General features: G+C 53.1%; 1 protein-coding gene and 2 long non-coding RNA genes across 12 annotated transcripts, besides 1 other annotated feature; 1 reads left to right on the forward strand and 2 right to left on the reverse strand.

Annotated features, from left to right (window-relative positions):
* Nucleotides 1-473: 473 nt before the first annotated feature.
* On the reverse strand, nt 474-1,603 carry LOC107987120 (uncharacterized). Its single transcript, XR_001746905.1, has 3 exons — nt 1,369-1,603; nt 1,232-1,274; nt 474-1,136 (listed from the first exon to the last, which is right to left on the reverse strand). It is a non-coding gene; the product is annotated as an uncharacterized LOC107987120 (long non-coding RNA).
* Nucleotides 12,172-19,826, reverse strand: KIF12 (kinesin family member 12). Of its 10 annotated transcripts, none has more exons than XM_005251683.6 (20): nt 19,785-19,826; nt 19,638-19,703; nt 19,469-19,547; nt 18,836-18,963; nt 18,649-18,724; nt 18,141-18,275; nt 17,835-17,970; nt 16,921-17,012; nt 16,585-16,741; nt 15,748-15,866; nt 15,557-15,661; nt 14,887-14,989; nt 14,715-14,805; nt 14,420-14,506; nt 13,941-14,031; nt 13,763-13,867; nt 13,076-13,176; nt 12,867-12,985; nt 12,689-12,708; nt 12,172-12,534 (listed from the first exon to the last, which is right to left on the reverse strand). In XM_005251683.6, exons 1-20 carry the CDS (start codon nt 19,808-19,810, stop codon nt 12,361-12,363), a joined length of 2,010 nt encoding a protein of 669 aa, XP_005251740.1. In that variant the 5' UTR covers nt 19,811-19,826; the 3' UTR covers nt 12,172-12,360. The 10 variants fall into 10 exon arrangements, 8 of the variants coding, with proteins under 8 accessions (XP_005251740.1, XP_047278665.1, NP_001375237.1 ...); XM_047422709.1 differs by having other exon boundaries at nt 18,836-18,995; NM_001388308.1 differs by lacking the exon at nt 12,689-12,708.
* Nucleotides 18,889-21,353, forward strand: LOC124902251 (uncharacterized). Its single transcript, XR_007061740.1, has 2 exons — nt 18,889-18,972; nt 19,612-21,353. It is a non-coding gene; the product is annotated as an uncharacterized LOC124902251 (long non-coding RNA).
* Nucleotides 19,615-20,150: an enhancer, noted in NCBI's record as "H3K4me1 hESC enhancer chr9:116861361-116861896 (GRCh37/hg19 assembly coordinates)". NCBI's record gives its function as "activates a minimal SCP1, AML or CMV promoter by ChIP-STARR-seq in naive H9 embryonic stem cells {active_cell/tissue: H9 hESC(naive)}" and the evidence as "EXISTENCE:reporter gene assay evidence [ECO:0000049][PMID:30033119]".

Below are 21,847 nucleotides of genomic sequence, written 5' to 3' on the forward strand. Positions count from 1 at the left end.
AGGATTGATGGCAGCCACCAAAAGCTAGCAAAAGGCAAGGAAGGACTTTTCCCCAGAATCTTCAAAGGGAACATGGCTCTGCTGAAAATTTGGTCTCAGGTGTCTGACCTCCAGTGCTGAGAGAAGACACATTTCCTAGCAGCCCTAGGAAACTAATACAGTAGTTATTAAACTTAAGGTTTTATTTATTTATTTATTATTTTGAGACGGAGTTTCACTCTTGTCGCCCAGGCTGGAGTGCAGTGGTGCGATCTCGGCTCACTGCAACCTCCACATTCTGGGCTGAAGTGATTCTTGTGCCTCAGCCTCCCGAGTAGCTGAGATTACAGGTGCCCACCACCATGCCTGGCTAATTTTTGTATTTTTAGTAGAGACAGCGTTTCACCATATTGGCCAGACTGGTCTCTAACTCCTGACCTCAGGTGATCCTCTCACCTCAGCCTCCCAAAGTGCTGGGATTACAGGCGTAAGCCACTGCGCTCAGCCTAAATTTAAGATTTTAAATGAGAATTTTTTAAAACCCAGGTCCGTTGTCTGTGAGCTCACACTCTTGCCAGCAATACCAAAGGCCTCTCTATGAATTTCCCTTCTCCAGTGGTTAAATCTACTGTCCTTACTTCCTCCCTGCTCTTGGCATGGAACATTCCATACTCTCAGCCACCTCTCTGTTAGAGCTGGGAATGACCCCTTCGGGCAGGCAGTCCCAAGATTAAGACCCCTGCTTATGTGAGAATCAAAGGATTCCCCCATGTAGTCAGTGCAGAAACAAATGGTGTATCATGTCCCTTCTGTAAGATTCAGTCAGTACATCCCTCTTTCACTGGTATCCAGAACAAGTGTGCTTCTATTCATAAATGTGTTTCCTTTGCTCCGTCACCCTAACCTTGGCCAGTGATTATATTCCCTTCTTGCTTTGGCTGCTAGGAAGCTCAAAGCCATGATGTAAGTTTAAGCACAGTTACTGTCTTGGTTTAGCTTTCTGGGACAGTTATCTTCGTGTTCCTTGTGTTCACAAAGTTTCTCAATCTTTGATGTTTTAGTTAATGATGGTAATGAGGAGGTGGTAGCCCCCAACTTCTCCTTGTTCTGCATGATATTGGAGGTGGCTTTCCCTCGCTAAAGACCACTTTCCGTATCTGTGAACGGAAGAAAACAGTTCTTGTTCTGTCTGTCAAGAGGCCAAGAGAGACAATGTGTGAGGAAGTGAACTGTAAACTGTCCACTGCCTTACCTGTGTGGTGGCTCAGGGGTGTCTGCCATTGGAGGAGGCAGGCCTGGTATAAGAATAAATAAATAACAATGAATCATTAATAGGAATAAAATCATCCTACTAAGCCCGCTTACAGTGCACCAAGATGGCTCGCTGACCTTCATGTTGGGCCTGCGTGACTACAGTTATCAACCCCATGGTCCAGATGGGAAGCCTGAGACGCGCAGGGGTGGAGAAGCCCCAGTCCTAGCCTCTCTTGGACAGGGCTGTTCATTCAGTTGCACAGCCTCTCCTGGGGGTGGGGAGAGGCCCAGAGGATAAGTCCAGGATGTTGATTTCTTCTCCTGCCTCCAGGAATGTTTGTGCTCCTGAGATTATTAACCAGAGCAAACAGAGAGAGTAAATGCTGCCAAGGGCCACTTGGACTTTTGACTGCTTTTTAAAAATTAACCTGGGGACACAAGTTGCAAGACCAACAGTGGTCAGACAGCTGCTGCCCCCTCCTCCCCTTCTGGCTGCTGGGGTGGGAGGATGGAGGCTCTGGGGTCCCTGCCCTCCTAGGGGGCCCAGGGGTCTAAGAGTCCATGGGAATTGCTAGGTTCTGAAACCATTTGGTTGTGGGGGAGGGTCTTGCCCCTCACAGGAGGCCTCAGAGCCTCAGGGGTACCCAGTGCAATGTGGAATAGAGGCCTCGATTTTCAGATGCACATACTGGGGCTCAGGGAGGGGATGGGACTTGGTCAAGGTCACCCAGTGTGTGGCCGAGTCGGGGCCAGATAGGCCTGACTGTGGCACCCAGGCTCTCCCCTCATCATTTATTCTTGTGTCTACTTGTTCTTTTGCCAAATACACACTCCATGCTTGGTGCTGAGGACAGGATGGGCATATGACAGGCCTCCCAGAGCTCCCTTGAGGCCTGGGGTTGGGGAACAGACGAGGTGAGAAGGTGATAAGACAGGATGGTTGCTGCAGTGATCAGGGAAGCAGAGGCCGGGACAGGGGAGTCAGACTCCAAGAGTAGGAGTGAGCTAGACAACAGTGCAGTGGGATGGGTGCATGGGGGAGGGGAGTGGGTTCCATGCACAGGGAACAGCAATTGCAAAGGCTTAGGGAAGAAAATAGAAAATTATTTTTATTTTTATCCAAAAAATACAAATAAATCCACAGGTCTGGAGCTTGGGGACAGAAGGGAGTGGTGAGAGTGAGGCTGGGGAGGTGGCTGAGGTCCAGTAGGTGGGATCGTGTTGCCGTCCCAAGGGGTGTTGCTTGGGAGTGCACAGGGGCACTGGTGGGTTTTCAGAAGTCAAGGTCAACCAGATTAGTAATCGGGAGAGATCAATCAGGAGGTAACGTAAGCTGGAGACCCAGGAAAGCAACTCCTTAGGAGATTTTCCAGGAAGAAGGAAGGGGCCGGGCCAGGGCACTAGGACCCAGTGACTGGACCCACAGGGACATCAGGGACATTGACTGGGAGTCAGACCAGAGGGTGTGGTCAACCTTTGAGTCCTCCTCTGCCAATGGTGGAATGATAAGGTGACTTTCTCCGTGACAGGAGGCCTTGCCTCCAATGTCTGACCTTGCTCAATTTCCATGGCCTCGTGCCACAGCCTGTCCACTCAGGGTCCTCATGGCATAGCTGGAGGTGCACAGCACCCATAACTCCATGACTGGTGATGTGGAGGGGTGTTCTCACTGCCCTGTGATTTCTAGGCATTGTTACTCATCCCTACACCTCCAACCCAAAGAGCAAGTCCACCCAGAGACTTGAGTCCTAGTCCTTGTGGCTTGCTGCGGGACAATGGGGCAGTCATTTCCCTCCATGGCTTCAGAGCTGACATAATAACTGAATGAGGGTCACTTGTGAAAATGCACCCCAAGTGTGTAGATACGTAGGACCCCTGTCATCATGGGCGCTTGGTACCGCATGTGCTCCAGCTAAGGACTCCATACATAGCTGCAACTGCACTAAGGTGTGAACTTCCCTTGTCCACCAGGGGGCAGCAGAGAACTTCCCGAAAGAACCACCGGAGTTTGCTCACAGATTGTTCTGTACAGATGGAGACAGAGGCCAGGAGCAAAGGCTCAAAGAGCTACAATGCGGGCTCGTGTCCAGGCTTCCTTGCCCCAAGCCTACTTAAAATCCCCTGGTGAGTGTAAAACATTTAGCGTCTACCTTGCCCATCCCTACCCTGCTAGAGAGCTTGATGCTTGGTTGGGGCCCTTAAAAAAAATAGTTTTGCTGGGGAACCAGAATTGGGTGCAGTTGTTGCAGACCACGAAGGCTACTATAACTGTACTAAGTTCTTACTGTCTGCCAAGTCCACGCAGAGCACTACAAGAGCATGTCGTTCTAAATCCTCTATTAAGAATCTTTTTGGAGTGGAGTGGCTCAGGCCTGTAATCCCAGCACTTTGGGAGGCTGAAGGGGGCGGATCACCTGAGGTCAGGAGTTGGAGACCAGCCTGGCCAACATAGTGAAACTCCCATCTCTACTAAAAATACAAAATTAGCTGGGCGTGGTCGCGCACGACTGTAATCCCAGCTACTCGGGAGCCTGAGGCAGAAGAATCATTTCAACCCAGGAGGCGGAGGTTGCAGTGAGCCAAGATCACTCCATTGCACTCCAGTCTGGGCAACAAGAGTGAAACTCCATCTCAAAAAAAAAAAAAAAGGATCTTTTTGTGGGGTGGTGGGGAGGGAGAGGATCAGGAAGAAGAGCTAATGGATGCTGGGCTTAATACCTAGGTGATGGGTATATCTGTGCAGCAAACAATCATTGTGCCTGTTTACCTATGTGGCAAACCTGCAGATCTGCACATGTACCTCAGAACTTAAAAAAAAAGTTGAAGAAAAAAATAATCTTATTATGCTGGTAGCCCTATTTTGCAGGTAGGGAAACTGAAGCTAAGACATCAGGTGATCATGCGTTGAAGGTCACCCAGACATTAAATTCAAACCAAGATCTGTCTCTGTTAACACTTAAGGCACTCTGCTGACCCTATCTCTTGTCTCTTGGCTAGATCTTAGGCCACGTTCTTTAGACACTTGGAGCTGATGAGTCTCCCTTCATTGGACTCTTCACAGCCGAAGTCAGGCCTATTTCTCCCTTCCCCAGCCAAGGGTCACCTCAGCGTCTGCTATATCAAGTCCAGACCTTCTCTCCCTCCTTGGGGCCCAGCACTGTGCTGGGTGCATAATAGGCGCTCAGCCAACAGTGCTGACTGACTTACTCAGAACCATGGGGGAGATTTAGGTCGGATCCCAAGAAGGACCACCCACGCAGAAGACAGCTGAGGGAGACTGGGAAATTGGACTCACCACATCCAAAACCCCTTAACCTTATGTCCAATGAATGAGCAAAGGAAGGAATGACTGGGCTCTCAATGGCAAAATTTATAAAGCAAAGACCCCTTGCTCTGTGGTGGCTTGTCTTCGAGTCATCAAATTTGAGTTTGTCTGTGTATTATGGCCTGGAGTACACCCAAGGCATTGTCCAACATGCTGTGATGATTAAGCTGCTGAACTTTATATCCAGACAGACCTGGGTTCTAGTCATGACTGCAACCCTTTCCTGCCTGTTTGATCTTAGCTAAGTGACTTCACCTTTCTTTCTCTTCTGTTAAATGGGGTTAATAAGAGCTCATAGCGGTGTATGAGAATTAAATGATGAGAAGCATGTCATGTCCTTGCTCCTTGGAGAGAGCTTAGTCAATAATAAACGTTGGCCCTGGGTCGGGGTGCCCTTAGATGTTGTCAATCCAGGTTCCTGATTGCAGGAGTGGGTGGCTTAGCCTGGAGAAGCACTCCTGCCCTTATAATCTTTGGAGCTCAGAGTGTCTTTGAGATCAGAGCGCCCTGGGGACAGAGCTTGTGGCCCAGGATCTAGCTCCTTTTGCACCCCTGAGGAAAGGGTTACCAAAGAATAAACTTCCAAAGGCCTTGTCTGTGTCCAGGAAGGGGACGCAGGCATATTCCTGCTTGTTGCAGGCCAATCTTATTGTCCATTGAAGCAGGACCTCCAGGAACCTGCCCCAACTCCTGGCTGACCGAGTTGATGCAACCCAGCATCTCTGGAAGGACTAAAATTGCTCTTTCCTGAAACCACGAGGCAAGCTGAGCTCTCTGGAAATTCCCACCGGCCTTTCTTCAGTGAAGACAAATGGATTTCTCTGAATCAGTTGCCTTGGAAGGGCAGTGGGAACTCTTCCCTGGCTCTTGCCCTTGGGCGACAGAGTACTTCTTTCCACTCCTTTCCCTGGAAGAATCTGTGTTAGGAGGGTCTCCCTGGAGGAAGGAGCCAGCCGAGCTGGATGTCAACAAGTTCATGAGTCTGTAGTAATGAGAGTCCAGAAGTTGACACAATTCCTCCCCCGCAAGTAATGATAGAATGTTTGTGCTGAAAGCATCCGTTAGTAATAATAACAGCAATAACAACTAGCATTTATTTAGCACTAACCATGTGCCAGGCTCTGTTCTGAACAGTTTATACGAATTCACTTCTAGTTCTCACATCATCCCCTGTGAGCATGTATTAACTCCTCATAGGGTAAACCAATTTTATCCCCACTTTACAGAGGAGGAAACTGGGGTTCAAAGAGATTCACTCTTTTGCCCAGCCTCCCACAGCTGGTATGTTGGGCAGACAGAGGGTGAGAAAGGGAGAGGGTTTGCCCAAAGTTCTGTAGCCTGGAGACCACAGAGATGTCCTGCCTCCACCCAGGGCCCTGCCCCATGGAGAAAGACTGGGCTGCAGGGCTGCACTTCTAATTGTCTAGATTCCAGCTCAGGCACCGGGTAGTTTTTAGAGAATCCCTTTGGTATTGGGGTGGTGAAGGATCCACCACCGGCGGGGAGGTTGAGAAAGTCCCTTCCTCTGCCTCGTCAAAGTGCCTCTGCGTGGTCTGGCCTTGCTGGATCGTGCCGGGCTTTGGTGGAGAACAATGTCTCTAGGAAGGCACCCCAACTATCCTCAGGGGTTCCTAAGTTGGACAGAAGCTGATCCTCTACCTGTCCTTCCTCTGTGGTCCCACTGGGTGGCACCTGGCATGGTGGTTGAGGCCAGCCAGGTTCAAATCCCGCTTCTGCCACCCACTGGCTGCGTGACCTTGGGCAAGTTCTGAGGCCCTTCCTGCCTTGGTTTCCTCACTGCAACATGACAATACTGACAGTACCTACTTCTCAGAGTTGTGAGAAATGAGCGAGCTAACACATGGCAAGCGCTGGGAGCAGTGCCTGGCACCAGAGAAACTTGCTAATTGCTATTATTTGTTCCCTTGCCTCCTGATTGTCACTTTGCTTGTCCTTTCCCCCACTTGGTTGGAAGCTTCTTGAGAAGAGGGCAGTGGCCCAGGGTCAGGCTGCTGTCACTTGTATCCAGCAGAGGCGGCCTGGCCTCCAAGTAGGGGCTTGGTGAACATGTGATAATCAGGAGAGCCACACACTGGATGAGGGTTCTTGAGAAAGACACGTCTGCCCAACTTTCAAAAAAGTCCTCTCAAAGGTCTTCTTTGCCGGCCCGTGTAGATGCCAGTGACAGCCAGGGACTTGTCTGACATACACAAGAGGTCTGTGTCAAGGCAGGCTTTGAACCCAGGTCTCCAGATTCCAGTCATGGTCTCCAACCCCAGCACTAACCCATCTACAAGTTCCAGTAGCTTCCAGTCTGTGGTTCATAACAAGACCACGCCTACTTGCCCGACCTGCCCTGCCATGCTTGTTTGCCTAAAATAAAGGAAGATGAGTCGCTGGATGCTAAACAAGAAGATAGAAATGGAAAAAGGACATTGAAGAGGACACAGAATATGCCATGAAGGGGCTGAATCCTATCAGAAACGGGCTGGAAATGAATATGAATTTGGAGCAAATGTGTCATTAGGCAAAGAGAAGAAAGACCTTGTGGGAGGGAAAGCAGGCCCATTTGGGATGCTGAGAGAAGGCTGGTATGGCTGAAGCAACAGGATGTTCTTGGCAAGAGGGTCTTCACAAACTCTCATAACGACTCCAAGTTTTGGGGTCCATCTGGGAGTTGGCCCCCCAGACAAGGCCTCACAGCCTTTTATGTACAAGTGTCCACAGGAGTGCTCTTCTAGAAGCTTGTGCCATCCAACTGCAACGCTTTCTGCCATGCTCCTCATCGTGCAATGAGAGGGGGCTGAGAGTTGGGATCCCCAAGGATCTGGAAAACTCAACCAAGGATCTGGGCAGCCAGCACTCTAGAAACCCATGGGTGGCCTTCAGAACTCTGGTGAATGTCCCTTACCCACTACATCCCTGCCCAGCCAAAGATTCCAGAGAATCCCTCCCGACTTGTCTACAGTGTTTTAAAATTTCAGAAAGATCTTCTAGGGGTTTGGAATCCTGGAAAATTCCTGTAGTGTCTCAGGATTTCCAAGAGCTTCCCCCAATTCTAATGTTCCGAAGTAGCAGAGACTTTCTTTTGACAGTTCTTGAGAACTACTACCATGTTTCGGGGTCTAGAGAACTGCCCCCAGGTTCCAGCAATCTGCAGAAGGCCTGTAGATTGCAGGGCTCCAGAAGTGTCCTTCTGAGTCCACAAGTTCTCGGTAAGTACCAAATGAATTTGAAGGGTCTTGATACATTACTGGGATCCTTTGGAATTCCCTCAGGGTTTAGGGATCCTAGAATTATGGCAGTTCTAGAGGGAGGATGCTGACTGTATTAGTCTGTTCTCATGCTGCTAATAAAGACATACCCAGGACTGAGTGATTTATAAAGAAAAAGAGGTTTAATGGACTCACAGTTCCACATGGCTGGGGAGGTCTCACAATCATGGCAAAAGGTGAATAAGAAGCAAAGGCCCGTCTTACGTGGTGACAGGCAAGAGAGCATGTGCAGGGAAACTGCCCTTTATAAAACCATCAGATCTTGTGAGACTTATTCACTATCACGAGAACAACACGGGAAAAACCCCAGCCCCATGATTCAATTACCTCCCACCAGGTCCCTCCCACAATACAAAGGAATTATAGGAGCTACAATTCAAGATGAGATTTGGGTGGGGACACAGCCAAACTATGTCACTGACTGAGAGATGGATGCATGACTTATGAGACAAGGGTAGTGAAGGCCAGTCTCCTCGAGTCCTACGACTCTCTCTGGAAAAGGATGTGGGGTTTTGCCGAGCTGGAGTGTGAACTGGAACCAGGAAACTGGAAAATCGTGGCTGGCTCCAGCGGGAATCATCCAAACATGAATGAACCAGTGAGGCCAGGGTCCCCCTGGGTGGTCCCCCTCCATCCTCCCAAGGCGATTAAGGAAAGCTCTCACACTCTCATGCTTGGTGCCAGGGCCTCCCCTGCCTGGGGCTGAGGACCTCCCAGCAAGCAAGCCCACAATGCAGTGAAATAAGGGTTCTGGGGAGTGGGGAGGAGCCCAGGCAGGAACCTGCAGAGCCACCCAAGCTAACGTGGCATTGAAATTACCAATATTAGAAAATAAAGGCTTTAGGGCACTCATCAGGCTCAACCTCCCTGTTCAGGTCTCTGTACAAACATCACCTCCGACGGAACTCCCTGCTTAGGACTGCACCCCTGCCCTGACAGAGCTCTACTCTCCTGCTCTATTTTACTCCATAGCATTATCACCATCTGACATGCCACGTATTTTGCCCTCTTTCTCGTTTATTGTCTGTGTTCCATGAGGGTAAAAGTCCTATGCTTTATTCAGTGCTAGCCCATAGAAAGCAGGTTCTCATAGAATGTTTGCACTGAAAGCATCCATGAATAATAATAACAGCAACGACAACTAGCATGTATTTAGCACTAACCACGTGCCAGGCTCTGTTCTAAATAATTCTGATCAATATATATTGAATGAATTTTTTTTAACCTGATTGTCAATTCCATCAAATCGTCATGTTGACTAAAGGTTGCTTTTGGCGAAACTGTCTGCAACTGGCAAAGCTACATGCTCCACTCTTTCCACGTGTCAGGGAATTTCATTCGCAAGACAGTTTTGTAAGGGGGTACTCTTATTGCGTTCATTCTGGGTATAAGTGACTTGGGCTCAGAGCAGTTGAGTCACTAGCCCAGGATCACTCATGGGTTTGAGCTTGGGTGGCTCCGTCTGTGGCTTAACCACAGCCTGCTCTGCCTGGTCCAGTTGCCTGTGGTATCTGGCTGTCACCTTCTGTCCCTGGGCTCTGCCTCCACAGATTCTGGCCTTCCAGGAAGCCACCACTGTTGAAAACCTCTAATGTCCAGTCACAAGTGTGGTCTAACAATTCCTGCCCACGGGGGCTCCAACCGCAATGGACCCCACCAGTCCCAGCTTCAGGAACCAGCCCTGCATAGACTCAGGAGCCAAGGACCTGCAGTGGGGGAGACCCAGAGAGGCCCAGCAGCCTGCCCCAAGTCACACAGCACACTCAAGCATCCTTGAGACACCTTGCTCTTATCTTTGGGTCCTCATGCCACTGGGAAAAAGGGGGCACATTCCCAAAGCTAGTTTCCAGAATGATGGGAAGGAGAGCACTGAGTCTTTCCTTGCTTGGTCCTGCGCCGGGGAGTGTGGTGGGGTAAAGGGATCCTGATTTCCTCAGGCCAGGTCTGAGGAGCACAGTGGCCAGTCTGAGTTCTGTTCCAGATGATGGCTGTGACCTCCCTCCAGCAACCCCAGCTGCTCCCTGACTGGTCCTCTGGCCTCAGTCTGCTGCCTCCCAAGGGCTCCCCAAGCCTGTGGCTAAGGCTGGCCTGCCCGGACCTTGCCTAAGTCCAGGGCATGGGTCTGAGGGGATGCCCAGCCCAAGGCCCAGCTCAGGTACTACTGGCTGAGGTGTCTCATCTCCTCTGTGCTGGTCTCTTTATAGTCCCCCAACTCCAGCTCATCCTTGCCAGTCAGGCCACCTCCCACAGGTGGCCAGCGTGACCTAAATACGAATCTAGGCTGGTGATGCCTTAAGACCCTTCCATGGCTCCCCTCTGCCCTTGGCACAAGCCCAAACTCTGGCTGTGACCTGGAAGGCCCTGCACTTCCTGGCCCCGACAAGCTCTGGAACCTCAGGGGTCTGTAGCCTTTGTGTCCACAGCCCCTCCACCTTCCCTTGAACCCAATGCTGTCTACCTTCCTACAAGCCTTAGTCATGGCCTCCTTGGGAAACCTTCTCTGACCCCCTCAATGATCACTGATCAAGTGACCTTCCTTTGTGCCTCCACAGTCCCTTGGGCTTCCCCCAGCCCCTGTGAGGTTGTAAATGCCTGTCTGTCCCCCACCAGACTCTGAGCTCCCTGGAAAAGCCACCTTGGCCCTTGTCTCCATTGTCACCTTTTAGCTTGATTTGCAGTTGATGCCAGTGTTTTTGCTTTGTTGTTTTTCAAGGCTGGAGTGCAGTGGTGTGATCATGGCTCACTGCAGCCTCAGCCACTTGTTTTCAAGTGATCTGCCTCAGCCCCCTGAGTAGCTGGGACTATAGGTGTGTGCCGCCATGCCCAGCTAATTTTTTATTTTTTGTAGAGACAGGATCTTACTGTTTCCCAGCCTGGTCCTGAACTCCTGGGCTCAAGCAATCCTCCTACCTTGGCCTCCCAAAGTGTTGGGATTACAGGCACCCAGCCATCAGTGTTGTTTGTTGAATGAATGAATGAACAAATGAATAAATGATGTGGGTCTGTTTCCCTAACTATAAGTGAAGAGTTAGGTTAGCCTCATAGCTCTTTCTATAATGGGTCCTCTCTCTGCTTCCCGTAATTCCTCATGTCATACTGGACTTCTCCATAACCACAGACCCACTGTATCTGATATGGTTTGGCTCTGTGTCCCCACCCAAATCTCATGTTGAATTATAATCTCTAATATTGGGGGAGGGACCTGGTGGGAGGTGATTGGATCATGGGGGAAGATTTCCCCCTTACTGTTCTTATGGTAGTGAGTTTTCACGAGATCTGGTTGTTTGAAAGTGTGTAGCACTTCCCCCTTCATTCTCTCTCTCTCCTGCTCCGCCATGGTAAGATGTGCTTGCTTCCCCTTCGCCCTTCTGCCATGATTGTAAGTTTCCTGAGGCCTCCCAGTCATGCTTCCTATACAGACTGCAGGGCTGTGAGTCAAACCACTTTTCTTCATAAATGCCCCAGTCTCAGGTAGTTCTTTACAGCAGTGCTGAGAACAGACTAATACAGCATTTTACTGGGCACTTATGCCATGAATCAGATATTGCTCACAGCCTTGACCCTCACTAGAACTCAGTGGGAAGGAAACTGTGTCCCCCACTTAATTGACTGAAAACCAGAGTGGTCCAGAGAGGGAACAGGACTTGCCCAGAGTCCTAGCGTAGATCTGTGGCACAAGAAGCCAGGCCTCCTGATCCCCACCAGCGCCAGGACCCATAGTGACACAGAGTGAGCCCCTTGACCACCCATCTCCCTGTGCTCCAGGCCAAATCAGTTTCCCTCATGCCTCCTTCATGGAGATGCTTGCCATTCAACTCCCCCACCGCCTACCCAATGGCATATAGCAGTTGCTTAATCAAAACTTGTATAATATGTGAAAGGAGGCTGGCTCACGCCTAGAATCCCAGCACTTTGGGAGGCCGAGGCAGGTGGATCACAAGGTCAGGAGATCGAGACCATCCTGGGTAACATAGTGAAACCCCATCTCTACTAAAAAAAAAAAAAAAAATACAAAAATTAGCTGGGCGTGGTGGCGTGTGCCTGTAATCCCAGCTACTTGGGCGGCTGAGGCAGGAGAATCGCTTGAACCCAGGAGGCGGAGGTTGCAGTGAGCTGAGATTGCATCACTGCACTCCAGCCTGGTGACAAAGCTAGACTCCGTCTCAAAAAAACAAAACAAAACAAAACAAAAAACCATGAAAGGAGATGGGAGATGGAAGCTTGGGATATTCCAGACTGGAAGGGGACACACATCTGTGCCAAGAGTCCTAGCCCTTCCTCCCTCTAATTTCCCACGGGGAAATAACTGATAACCCCAGAGGATAGAACCAACCAGACTTGGAGCTGATGCCTCTCTTTATTCATGTATTTCATCCCCTGCTGCCTGGTTTCTCCTGAATCCCCTTGTTCCCCTAAATAGCACCCCCAGTCCCCGCCCCTAGCCCAGCTGCAGGTGGAGTAGCAGCTGCTGTCTCCATTCAGCAGATGGGCAGACTGAAGCCCAAGAGTGTGGAGCCCAGTCTGAGGTCACACAGCAGTCTCCTGGGTTCCCACTTGGCCTTCAATGGGGAGGGAGGACTTGGCCTGGGCTCCGTGCGCCCTCACTGCAGGGTGGCTGGCTGCGGCCACGTCGCAGGGAGCTGCCAATCTGGTCTCTGAGGGCCTCCAGTCTCTGGGCCAGGTTTGGAACCCCGGCCCCACCTAAGGAGCAGTGAGACTCGAGGCCTGCCCTCTCCAGGGCCCTTCCTCACCCAGGTCCATCTGGGTCCCAACACCCTCTGGAGAAGCCTCAGGGGGTAGGTACCCTCCACCCTTCCCCCCACCCCACCCCCATACACCATGGGCTCCAACATACATCTGGGCACGCAGATGCTCCTAAAAAGAGAATTCCAAGTTTGGGAAGTAGAAAGATCTTAGAAGCCACCTCTCAACACCCACCCCATTTCAGAGATAAGACTGAGGCCTGGAGAGGGTGGGTTCTACCCCAAGATCACAGAGAACATTAGGGGCCCCTCCCTCTCTCCCTTCTTCACCTCTGAGCCCTGGTGATGTCTTCGGGGGCCTCACAGGCAGGGGAGGTGCAGAAGGTACCACCTCCTCCTCCGTCAACATCTCTGCCAGGACTCGGGTCTGAGTCCAGTCACTGTGACTCCTGGGCCAGGGTGAGTTGGGAGATGGGAGGTGAGCCTTTGAGTTCCCCAGACCACCCCTCTCTGACCTCAGTGCCCCAGGAGAGACCCACCTCTCTCTTGGGCACTTGGCAGAGCCAGGGCTGCATGGGGGTGCCCAGGGTGGGGGCCGGGCAGATGGGGGCCTGCCACCTGAGGCCTCAGGGTCCAACACCTGTAGGAAAGACCAGAGTCCACTCTGGGTGACCTCAGTCCTGCCTCTCTGTGTCCCACCTACCTGGTGCTAGCCATGACACCCCACCATGCCTACCCCACAAGGTACCAAGAATGTCAGGATGGCATAAAGGGGTGGGGTCTTGGTCGCCTTCTGTGTGCAGCAGATGGTTCTTCTACCGTCCTCTCCTGAGACTAGAAGCCTCCTGAGAGCAGGAACCACGTCTGGTCTATTTCTGACTCCTCAGAGCCCAGAAGAGAGGCTGGTATAAAGCAAGGAGCTTGGGGAGTTACTGAAGGAGTAAGTGAATGTATGATTCAGTAAATCCATAAGTGAGTAGATATGTGAGTGAATGAATAAGTGAATGACAGAATGAATTCCTGGCCCTGACAGGGCAGGGTGAGGAGGGGGGAGGGTGAGGCAAACAGCTATTTCAAACCAGGGCAGAGGGAGCCCTAGGCCAGCCATTCACTCCCCATGATCTAGCCTGCAGCCCTGGAATCCCTGGGGCTCTGGATTGATGACTCCTGGATCAAGGTCTCCAGTTCTCCCAGCCTTCCCTCACTCCCACCATGGCCTTTCCTACCTGGGGCAGGTGGTGCTCCCCTGGCAGGCAGGCCCAGTGGGCCAGGGGCACTCGACACAGTGGGCAGATGTGGCAGCAGGGGCAGGAGTAGAGGGGTGGCAGTGCCTGCAAAAAGGTGCGTCAGAGGCTCCATGACATCCCTACTTGTCACCCCTCCAGGCTGGGCCGTGAGACTCACATGGCAAGGGGGAGCTGGGGCCATCAAGCAGGGACACGGTGGGGTCAGGCCAGGACCCTGCTGGTGATGGTAGCAGGCAGAGAGGAGACGCCTAGAAAGAACAGCAGGGTCTATGCCTGCAGCCTCCAACCCTACCACCAAGCTGGCTTTCAAATCCCCTTCCCAGCTAATACTCCTGGATCCCGTACCAGGTACCGGGCCCCATTCTCAAAGTTTTACATGTTAACTTATTCTCTCTGATTTTTAAAACAAGCCTATAAGTAGGCACGACGATGAACCCCATCTTACAGAAGAGGAAACCCAGGCAGTGAGAAGTTAAATGACTTGCCCCAGGTGACACAGCTAGTAGGTGGCAGAGCTGGAAACTGAACCTAGTTGGTCTGAATCCAGAGGCCAGCCTCAAGCAGTTCATTAAGCCATCCCTTTTCCCAGCTGCCCTCTGTCCAGAGGCCTGGCTCCAAGCTGGTGGCTCTGCTTACCTCTCTAGTGCATGGACCTGCTGGGCCAGGATGCGCTGCTCATTCTGGGCCAGGTCTCGGCTATTCTGCAGCTGGCTCTTTTCTTTCCTAGGGGAGATCACAAGCCAGGAAGGGGTAGGAAATGGGGCTGGGGTGGGGCATCAGTCAGCTCCTCCTCATTGCAGCATAGCACCAGTTCAGGAAGCAGGTGGGGACATAAGGGAGCCAGGGGCAGGGAGAGGAGGCAGTTTGCCAGAAGCAGCCTAGCAGTGATGGGTGGGGAGCAGCATCCCTCTGGCTGTGGGCTGTGCCCTACCTGAGCCTCTCATTCTCTAGCATGAACTCCTGTAGCATCCCGTACAGGTTCCGCTGGGCCCAGGCCACCCGGGCTCCACTGAGCCCTGAGGCTGCAGGGAAGCAGGAGGTGGTGGATCCACAGGAGCCCCAGACCCTATCCCCATCCTACTCTGCCTCCAGGAAGCCCATACCCTTGCAGTCCATTTGGTCCAGCTGGAACTGCAGGCGACGGTTCTCCTCCTGGAGCTGCAGCATCTCTGTCTCCAAACGCTGGGGCTGCTTTGCCACAGGAGACTGTAGGGAAAGAGGCCCAGAGCCACCTTTATGGTTGTATAAGTCGTGCACTGCACAAGAACTTCCGGGTGTGGGAAGTAACTGGGGCCTAAAATCCAGCCCATGCTTCATTCGTCAGCCTTGCATCTTGGCACAAGGCTGTATCTGCCTGGAAGGGGCACCTTGTCCTAAGTGCACTGTCCTGGAGGGCCCCACTCTGAGCTGGACTCAGCTGTGAGTCCAATCCCAAACTCAGTTCTGTCCAAACCTTGGGCCAGATAATGGTTCCAAACGAGACCCCACATTAGGCCCCACATCAACTCCCACTTAACCATGATACTAACTGAGCTAGACCCTGAATCATATCCCAACTCAAACTCCAACCCTAGACCTGCCCTAAACCTGGCATGACCCTGGCTGGGACCCTGACCCCATCCTATACAACCATGATACCGATTCCAGGATTCCAACCCTAATCCCAACTTTGACCCAGTCCAAGACTTCAATCAAGGGACTCAGGCTCCAACTCCTGCCTGATCCCCCAGCATCTCCACGCCTGTCCCTCAGCTTGTGCCTGCCTATACTCACCTTGGGGGCCTGTGGTCGGGTGGTGACCCGCTGAGCTCGGCTTGCATATCGCAGGGTGCTGAGAGTCTCAGGAAGGCACTGGGCTGAGGGGGACACGCAGGCCACCTGGGGAGTGCACTCCCCCTGAGCGCTCCTCTCTGAGGGCCCCTTCCTCAAGACCCAACCTTCCCTGCCAGGCCCCGCTTAAGTACCATGAGGGTGACCCCGCGCCCTCCCAGTGAGTCTGCCAGCAACTTGGTGAGCTTGCTGTCCCGGAAAGGGATGTGGCTCTGCTTCCGCTGTGGGTCCAGCAGCAGGGAGATGCAGTGACCTGGGGAGGGAGAGCAAGAGTTAGGAAGGTTACATCACTTGCCTAGGGCCATCAGGCTGGGATGCTGCAGAGTTGGGCTCTCCACCCAGGCCTGTGTTGCCCTAAAAACCCATCTTTCCACATGATCTCATGACTCAGTCAGATTGGTCTCCACCACCAGACTGGGACTCTTTGAGGGCAGAGAAGGCCCTGTATACCCTGACCCTCAATGCCCAGCAAAGTGCCTGGTACTCAGGCACTCAGAAGGAAACTTCTAACAAATGGATTGTACACAAAGGAGTTTCGCGGGCATCTCACATGCATGCCACAGAGGAATACTGAGGGCACAGCCCCTGAGGATCTCCAGGTCCAATACCCTGGGGTGGGGTTGGGGAGAAAGCTCAAGTCCCTTCCCCTTACTAGGCCTCAGTCTTCCCAACTGCACAAGGGACATGCCAAATGTCTCTGAGGGTTCATCTTCTGCAGTTGAGTGGTTCTATTTCCCAAATTAGCATGGAACTTTATACACCCTTAGAGTTTATACATTCATAAGCAGTGTTTTACGAAGGGAGAAGTCAACAGCAGAGCTGGGGCCAGAATGGGGCCTTTGGTTCCTGGATCGCAGCTCTTTAACCCTCTTCTATTTACTACAACTCCTCTGGTATCCCCCACTGTGGAGAGCTGTGAGCCAGGCACAGAGGAGAGACAGGAAATCACACCGGTGGCCCCCAGGTCTCACCCAGGGCCAGCAGGCTTCGGTTGATGCTGTTAGCCTCAAGCATCAGCTCCCCACGGGATCCCGTGGCTGCTACCTTCTCACTGCCTGCCAGGTCCACAAAGCACAGCTTCCCACCAACAGGGGGCTCCCCAGGGTCCACAGAAGGCATCTGCTGGGCCTGAGGGATCAGAGCTTCATGGGGACTTGGGAGGGACCGTCCCCATCAAAGCCACAAGGTTATGGGACCAAGAGTTTCCATTATTAACCCCCATGCACACCCAAGTTGGTTTATATGTCCAGATACAGACCCTTGCTTGGTGGCCCCGGGTAAGCACCTTCCCAGGCTGGAGCACTCACAGTTTGACGGCTGATGTAAAGGGTGAGCAGGGCATGGCTTCGGCTGGAGGCCTGGTTCAGGGTGTGGGCTGAGTTCCTTCGACGGCTGAGACCTGGAAGGGAAAAACATCAGGAGCTGGACCTGGTAGGAAGAACAGGTCATCATCAATGAAGAAAAAGGAGCAAAGGAATCCTGGCGGAAGGGTCAGCCTCATGCAAAGGCAGGGAGGCAACAGAGTGGGTGTTGTTCAGGGAACGATGGGATGTTGGGCCCTGCTCTAGCAGAGATGGGTGGATGGAGGATAGAGAAAACTGAGCAGAAGAATGACAGTCAGATTTGCATTTTATAAACATCTCTCCCACTGCTTCGTGAAAGGAAGGGGAGAAACTGAGGCAGGAGATCAGCTGAGAGGTGTGGCACAGTGCTGGGGCCAGAATCCACAGTCAGCATCTCCAGTGCCTGCCAAAGGAGGGGTGCCCAATAAATACTTGATTTAAAAAAAAGAATGAGGCTGAAAGGGCCTTTAGGCTAGGCTAAGAGGTATGACCTTGATCCTCAGGGCCCTGGAAGGGTGGAGGGTCTGGAGGCAAAGAGAGATGGGGTTTGCAGCATAGAGGAGAATGGATGGGCAGGGGAGAGCCTTGAGGTGCAGAGACCACCAGGGAGCAAGAATGAGTCCTGGCGGAGGCCGAGGCCCTGGGCTAGAGAGGAGAGGGTGTGAAAGGAGTTTGGAAGGCAGAATTAGCAGGCCTTGTTGGCAGTGCGGGGAGGCCCTTGGGCCATGCCTTTGAATTGTGGTTTACTGGTCCTTCCCCACCTCCCCCAGGAATCATTTCTGAAGCTGCAGCTGCAGTCTGGGCCCCAAGTCCACACTCAGTGAACAACTGAGGAATGGGCACCCCTACCCGCAAAACTCCCCGCTGTCAGCACACACCCGTTTGCAAAAGTTCCATCAGGGCCTCCAGACTCCCAAATTCCACCACCCGCAGCTGCTCCACATAGAAGCCCCGAGTCTTGTTCCAGCGAACAGGGAGGGGCCGGGGAGACCCCAGGCTCAGCAAGTCCCGAACCTGGGAGGGGAGGGAGGAGGGTGAGGGAAGGGGATCTTTCTGAGTCCACCCATCCCCAGATCTTACTGACAACAGTCCCCACCGCCTCTTCTGTCCTTTGATCCAGGCTCCCTGGAAAGAAGCGCTCCGTTTCCTCATGGGCTGTCTTTCTATTCCTCTCATTCCCTTACCTGCTCATTGTAGATCTCCAGATAAGAGGCGCGAAGGGTGACAGGGGCACCCAGGTGCTGCACGCGGTCCAACAGCCAGGCGAAGGTCCTCTGCATGATGCCAGCCAGGCTGGGGGGTACAGGCACCCCCTCCCCCTAGGGGCAAAACCAGCTGAGCCATCGTCATCTCCACAGTAATAACTACCCTCTGTAGCGCATGTATGATACCGTGCGCCGGGAAACGTGCCAAGTTCCCAAACAATGGCTCATTTAATTCATAGTCGGTACTGTCACTTCCATTTTACAGATGAGAAAACTGAGAGCTAGGAAGGGGCCAAAGTTGAAGCCCAAATGCTCCAAATTGGGCAAGTCCCTTCTCTTTGGTCCTCAGCGTCCTCGTCTGCAAACAAGCGGGTCAGGCGGCGTCGTCCCAGCCCCTTCCCTCTGGGAGTCTGCGCCGCCTGCGGCTCCCCAGGGCTTCCAGCCCACCCAGCCCCGCCCCGCGGGGGCGCCGCCGGCGCTCGCTCACCTGGGGAGGGGGTCCAGTCAGGGTGTAGGTCTTCCCAGAGCCCGTCTGGCCAAAGGTGAAAACAGTGCAGGAGAAACTGCGGGCGGCAAGGGCGTGGCTGGACTCCGGCGGCTACCCGGGGTGGGGGCTGGGGGTGCTTCGGGGCCCCGCCAGGCCCGGCGCGGAGCGGAGGCGAAGCTTCACTCACCCGCGCAGCGCCAGCTCCCCCAGGCGCCGCACGCCGCACGCCCGGAACACGTCCTCCTGCGTGCGCGCCGCGTCTAGCACCGCACCGAAGCGGAACGCCACTTCTGGACCCCCGCCTGGAGGACTCACCTGGCGCGGGTGGGGCGGAGGAGCGGGGCACTCTGGAGGAGGGCGGGGCACCCTGGAGGGGCGGGGCACCGTGGAGGAGGGCGGGGCACGCGGGAGGAGGGCGGGGCACTCTGGAGGAGGGCGGGGCACCCTGGAGAAGGGTAGGGCGCTCGGTGAGGCACTCGGTGGGCGAGCACCCTGGGTTGGGGGTGGGGTGGGGGACACTCACTAGGGCCGGGGCATTCTGGGGAGGGTAGGACACCCTGGAGGGGCGGGGCATTCTGGGGGGGGCGGGCACCTTGGGTGGGCGGGCACTCAGAAGGGGCGGGGCACTCGCAGGGGTTGGCGCGGCGCACCCTGGCGGAGGGCTGGGCATCCTGGAAGGGAGGGGCACTCTGGGGAGGGCGGGGCACCTGGGAGAGGACCACTCCGGGGGAGCGCGGGGCCTAGGGCAAAGTTGCCTGGGGGAAGGGATCTGGCGTCCCCGGGATTTTTTATTGGGGAGATAGAGAGAGGGGTTCCTCACCTGCAGAGTCCGGGTCCCTGAGCAGTGCAGCACGCTCTGCTGCCCTCGACGCAGCTCGGCCGCGCTCATGGGACGTACCCTGGGGTCCGACAGAAGGGCAGATGGTACATCCTGATGTCTTCCTCGATCCTTGTCTCGCCCAGGTGCCTCCTAGCCAATTTATACCCACCTGAGCACCACCTGGATGGGCGTTTCCGGCCCCTCTGGCCCTTGCTCCAGGCTCCGCGCGAGATCCCTGTGGGCAGCAATGCGACTTATCATACCTGCACCTAGCGGCTGTTCAGGACTCCTCGAACCTGTCTGAAGATCTGCTTACCCGTCGGGTGACCCGCGTTCTTCCATGTCCTGCTCTGCACACGGAGTTAGCTCCGCCCGCGTCTCCTTTATTTACCCCCCACCAATACCCTCCCTTCTCCACAACACTGGGACTGTCTACACACATCTTGCATTCCCACCCCATCCCCCATCCCAGGCAGCCATCCATCCGGAAAGACTCCAGCTGCCCAGGGCTAGCTCGTTAAAGATTTACCCTTCCTCACCCCTGCGGTGGAGAAAGTCTCTCCCAAGCTAGGGGACCCCTAGCTAGGGGGTTCTGGAGTCTGAGGATCCCTTGCTCTTGGCCAGTCCTCACAAGAGGAACCCGTGGGACCACCCAGACCGGCCTCCTTTGTGCCCAGTTGGGGATACCTAAGCAGATAGGAAGGACTCAACCAAGGCCACAGAGCTAGCCTGCACAGGACCAAGCTTTTCCCACCCTCTCCACATACCCCCCACTCCCACCCCCAGCAGCTCAGCTCAGGGCCCAAGGAGTGGCACAGGTCTCAGTCAGCTCTAGGGACGACCTGGCTGGATTGAATCTCTGAGCTGACCTGAGAACAGGTTTCCAAGCATCTGGTAAAACACTGGGGCACCTGCCTCTCTAATGCCAAAGTTAATCCTAGGCCAGCATGATTGTTTAACCCTCTCCTGGTCTGGCTTATGAGAACAGCAGAGATGTCTGTGAATGTGCAGGGATGGGGCAATCACTTATTCTGTACCAGTCTCCATGCTGGGCACCAGGGCAGAGGAACCCCATGCAGCCCCTGACCCTTCCCAGCTCACAGTGTGTCTGGGGAGATGGATAAGTACAACCCAGCAGCGTGTAGGGCCTTTAGGGGGAGTACAGAGGCCTGTAGGAGCCAGTGGGGGTGGGGAGGAGGTGAGGGTATTCCAGGCAAAGCAAACAGGAGTCAGGATGGCCAGGGTGGGGTGGGGAGATGAGTGTGGCATGGAGAGGTAGTTTGAGGCTGGATCTAGCTTATGGTGGGCACATCAAGGAGTCTGGACTCACTCTTCAGGGAACCAGGAAGCCATTGAAGGGTTATAAACAGGGATGTGACACCATCAGGTTGGCATTGTTATTATTATTGTCATTCTGGCTGTCTTTGTATGTTCTCTGAATATTTCTGCAAACTCTCCGGCCCCCAAACACACATTAGGGTGAAAGCCCTAAAAATCACTTTTTCTCAATGTGACACATTCTATACCACCACAAATTACAGCCAACTATCAAAGCCACCCTGCTGGAGAATGGGCTGTCTTGGATGGCAGTGAGCTCCCCAGGCAATGGAGATGTATAAGAAAGAGCCATTTGACCTTTTGGTTATAGGACCCTCTAGCAGGGGCCACAGGGAAAGTTCTGTAGAACTAATAACCACTGCCCCCAGCTCTGCCACTAACTTGCCACAGTCTTGGCTTCTCTTGTTTCCTTCCTGTAAAAAGAGATTAATGACTTCTCTCCTATTTGACATAGTTGTTCTGAGATTTCAATGAGATGTGTCATTGAAAGTGAAAGTTGTAAATAATTACCTAAAAACAAAAATAAAAATTCCTAGATGATCTCTAAGTTCCCTTTCAACTCTGAAGTTCCTTAATCTATTTTTTGAGTCCTTGAGGTGGATAAGACAAAAATTACTATCCCTGTTTTTCAGAGGAAAAAAAACTGAACTAAACAGCGAAAGGCAGGGAAAGTTATCTAAGGAGAAAACAACAAATGGCAGAACTGAGAGTTTAAACCCAGAACTATGAGCTGTACATCCTGATGCTGCTTGCTATGGCAAGTTGCTTTTGTCAGGAGTAAACCCAGTAAATGAACAAGGTGCTCCTTTAAAAGCTGTTGAAAGTGTTAAAGACTATCAATCACTAGCATCTTAGTGTGCATTGGTTTAGTCAGATTGCTGGCCCTCCTCAGGCTGGACTGAGATGAGCCACGCTGAAGGGATTTTTGTTTTTTTTGTTTTGTTTTGTTTTGTTTTGGAGATGCAGTTTCTCTCTTATCACCCAGGCTGGAATGCAATGTTGCGATCCTGGCTCACTGCAACCTCCACCTTCTGGATCCAA

The sequence above is a fragment of the Homo sapiens genome, chromosome 9 (assembly GCF_000001405.40).
Source record: "Homo sapiens chromosome 9, GRCh38.p14 Primary Assembly".
Lineage (NCBI taxonomy): Eukaryota > Metazoa > Chordata > Mammalia > Primates > Hominidae > Homo > Homo sapiens.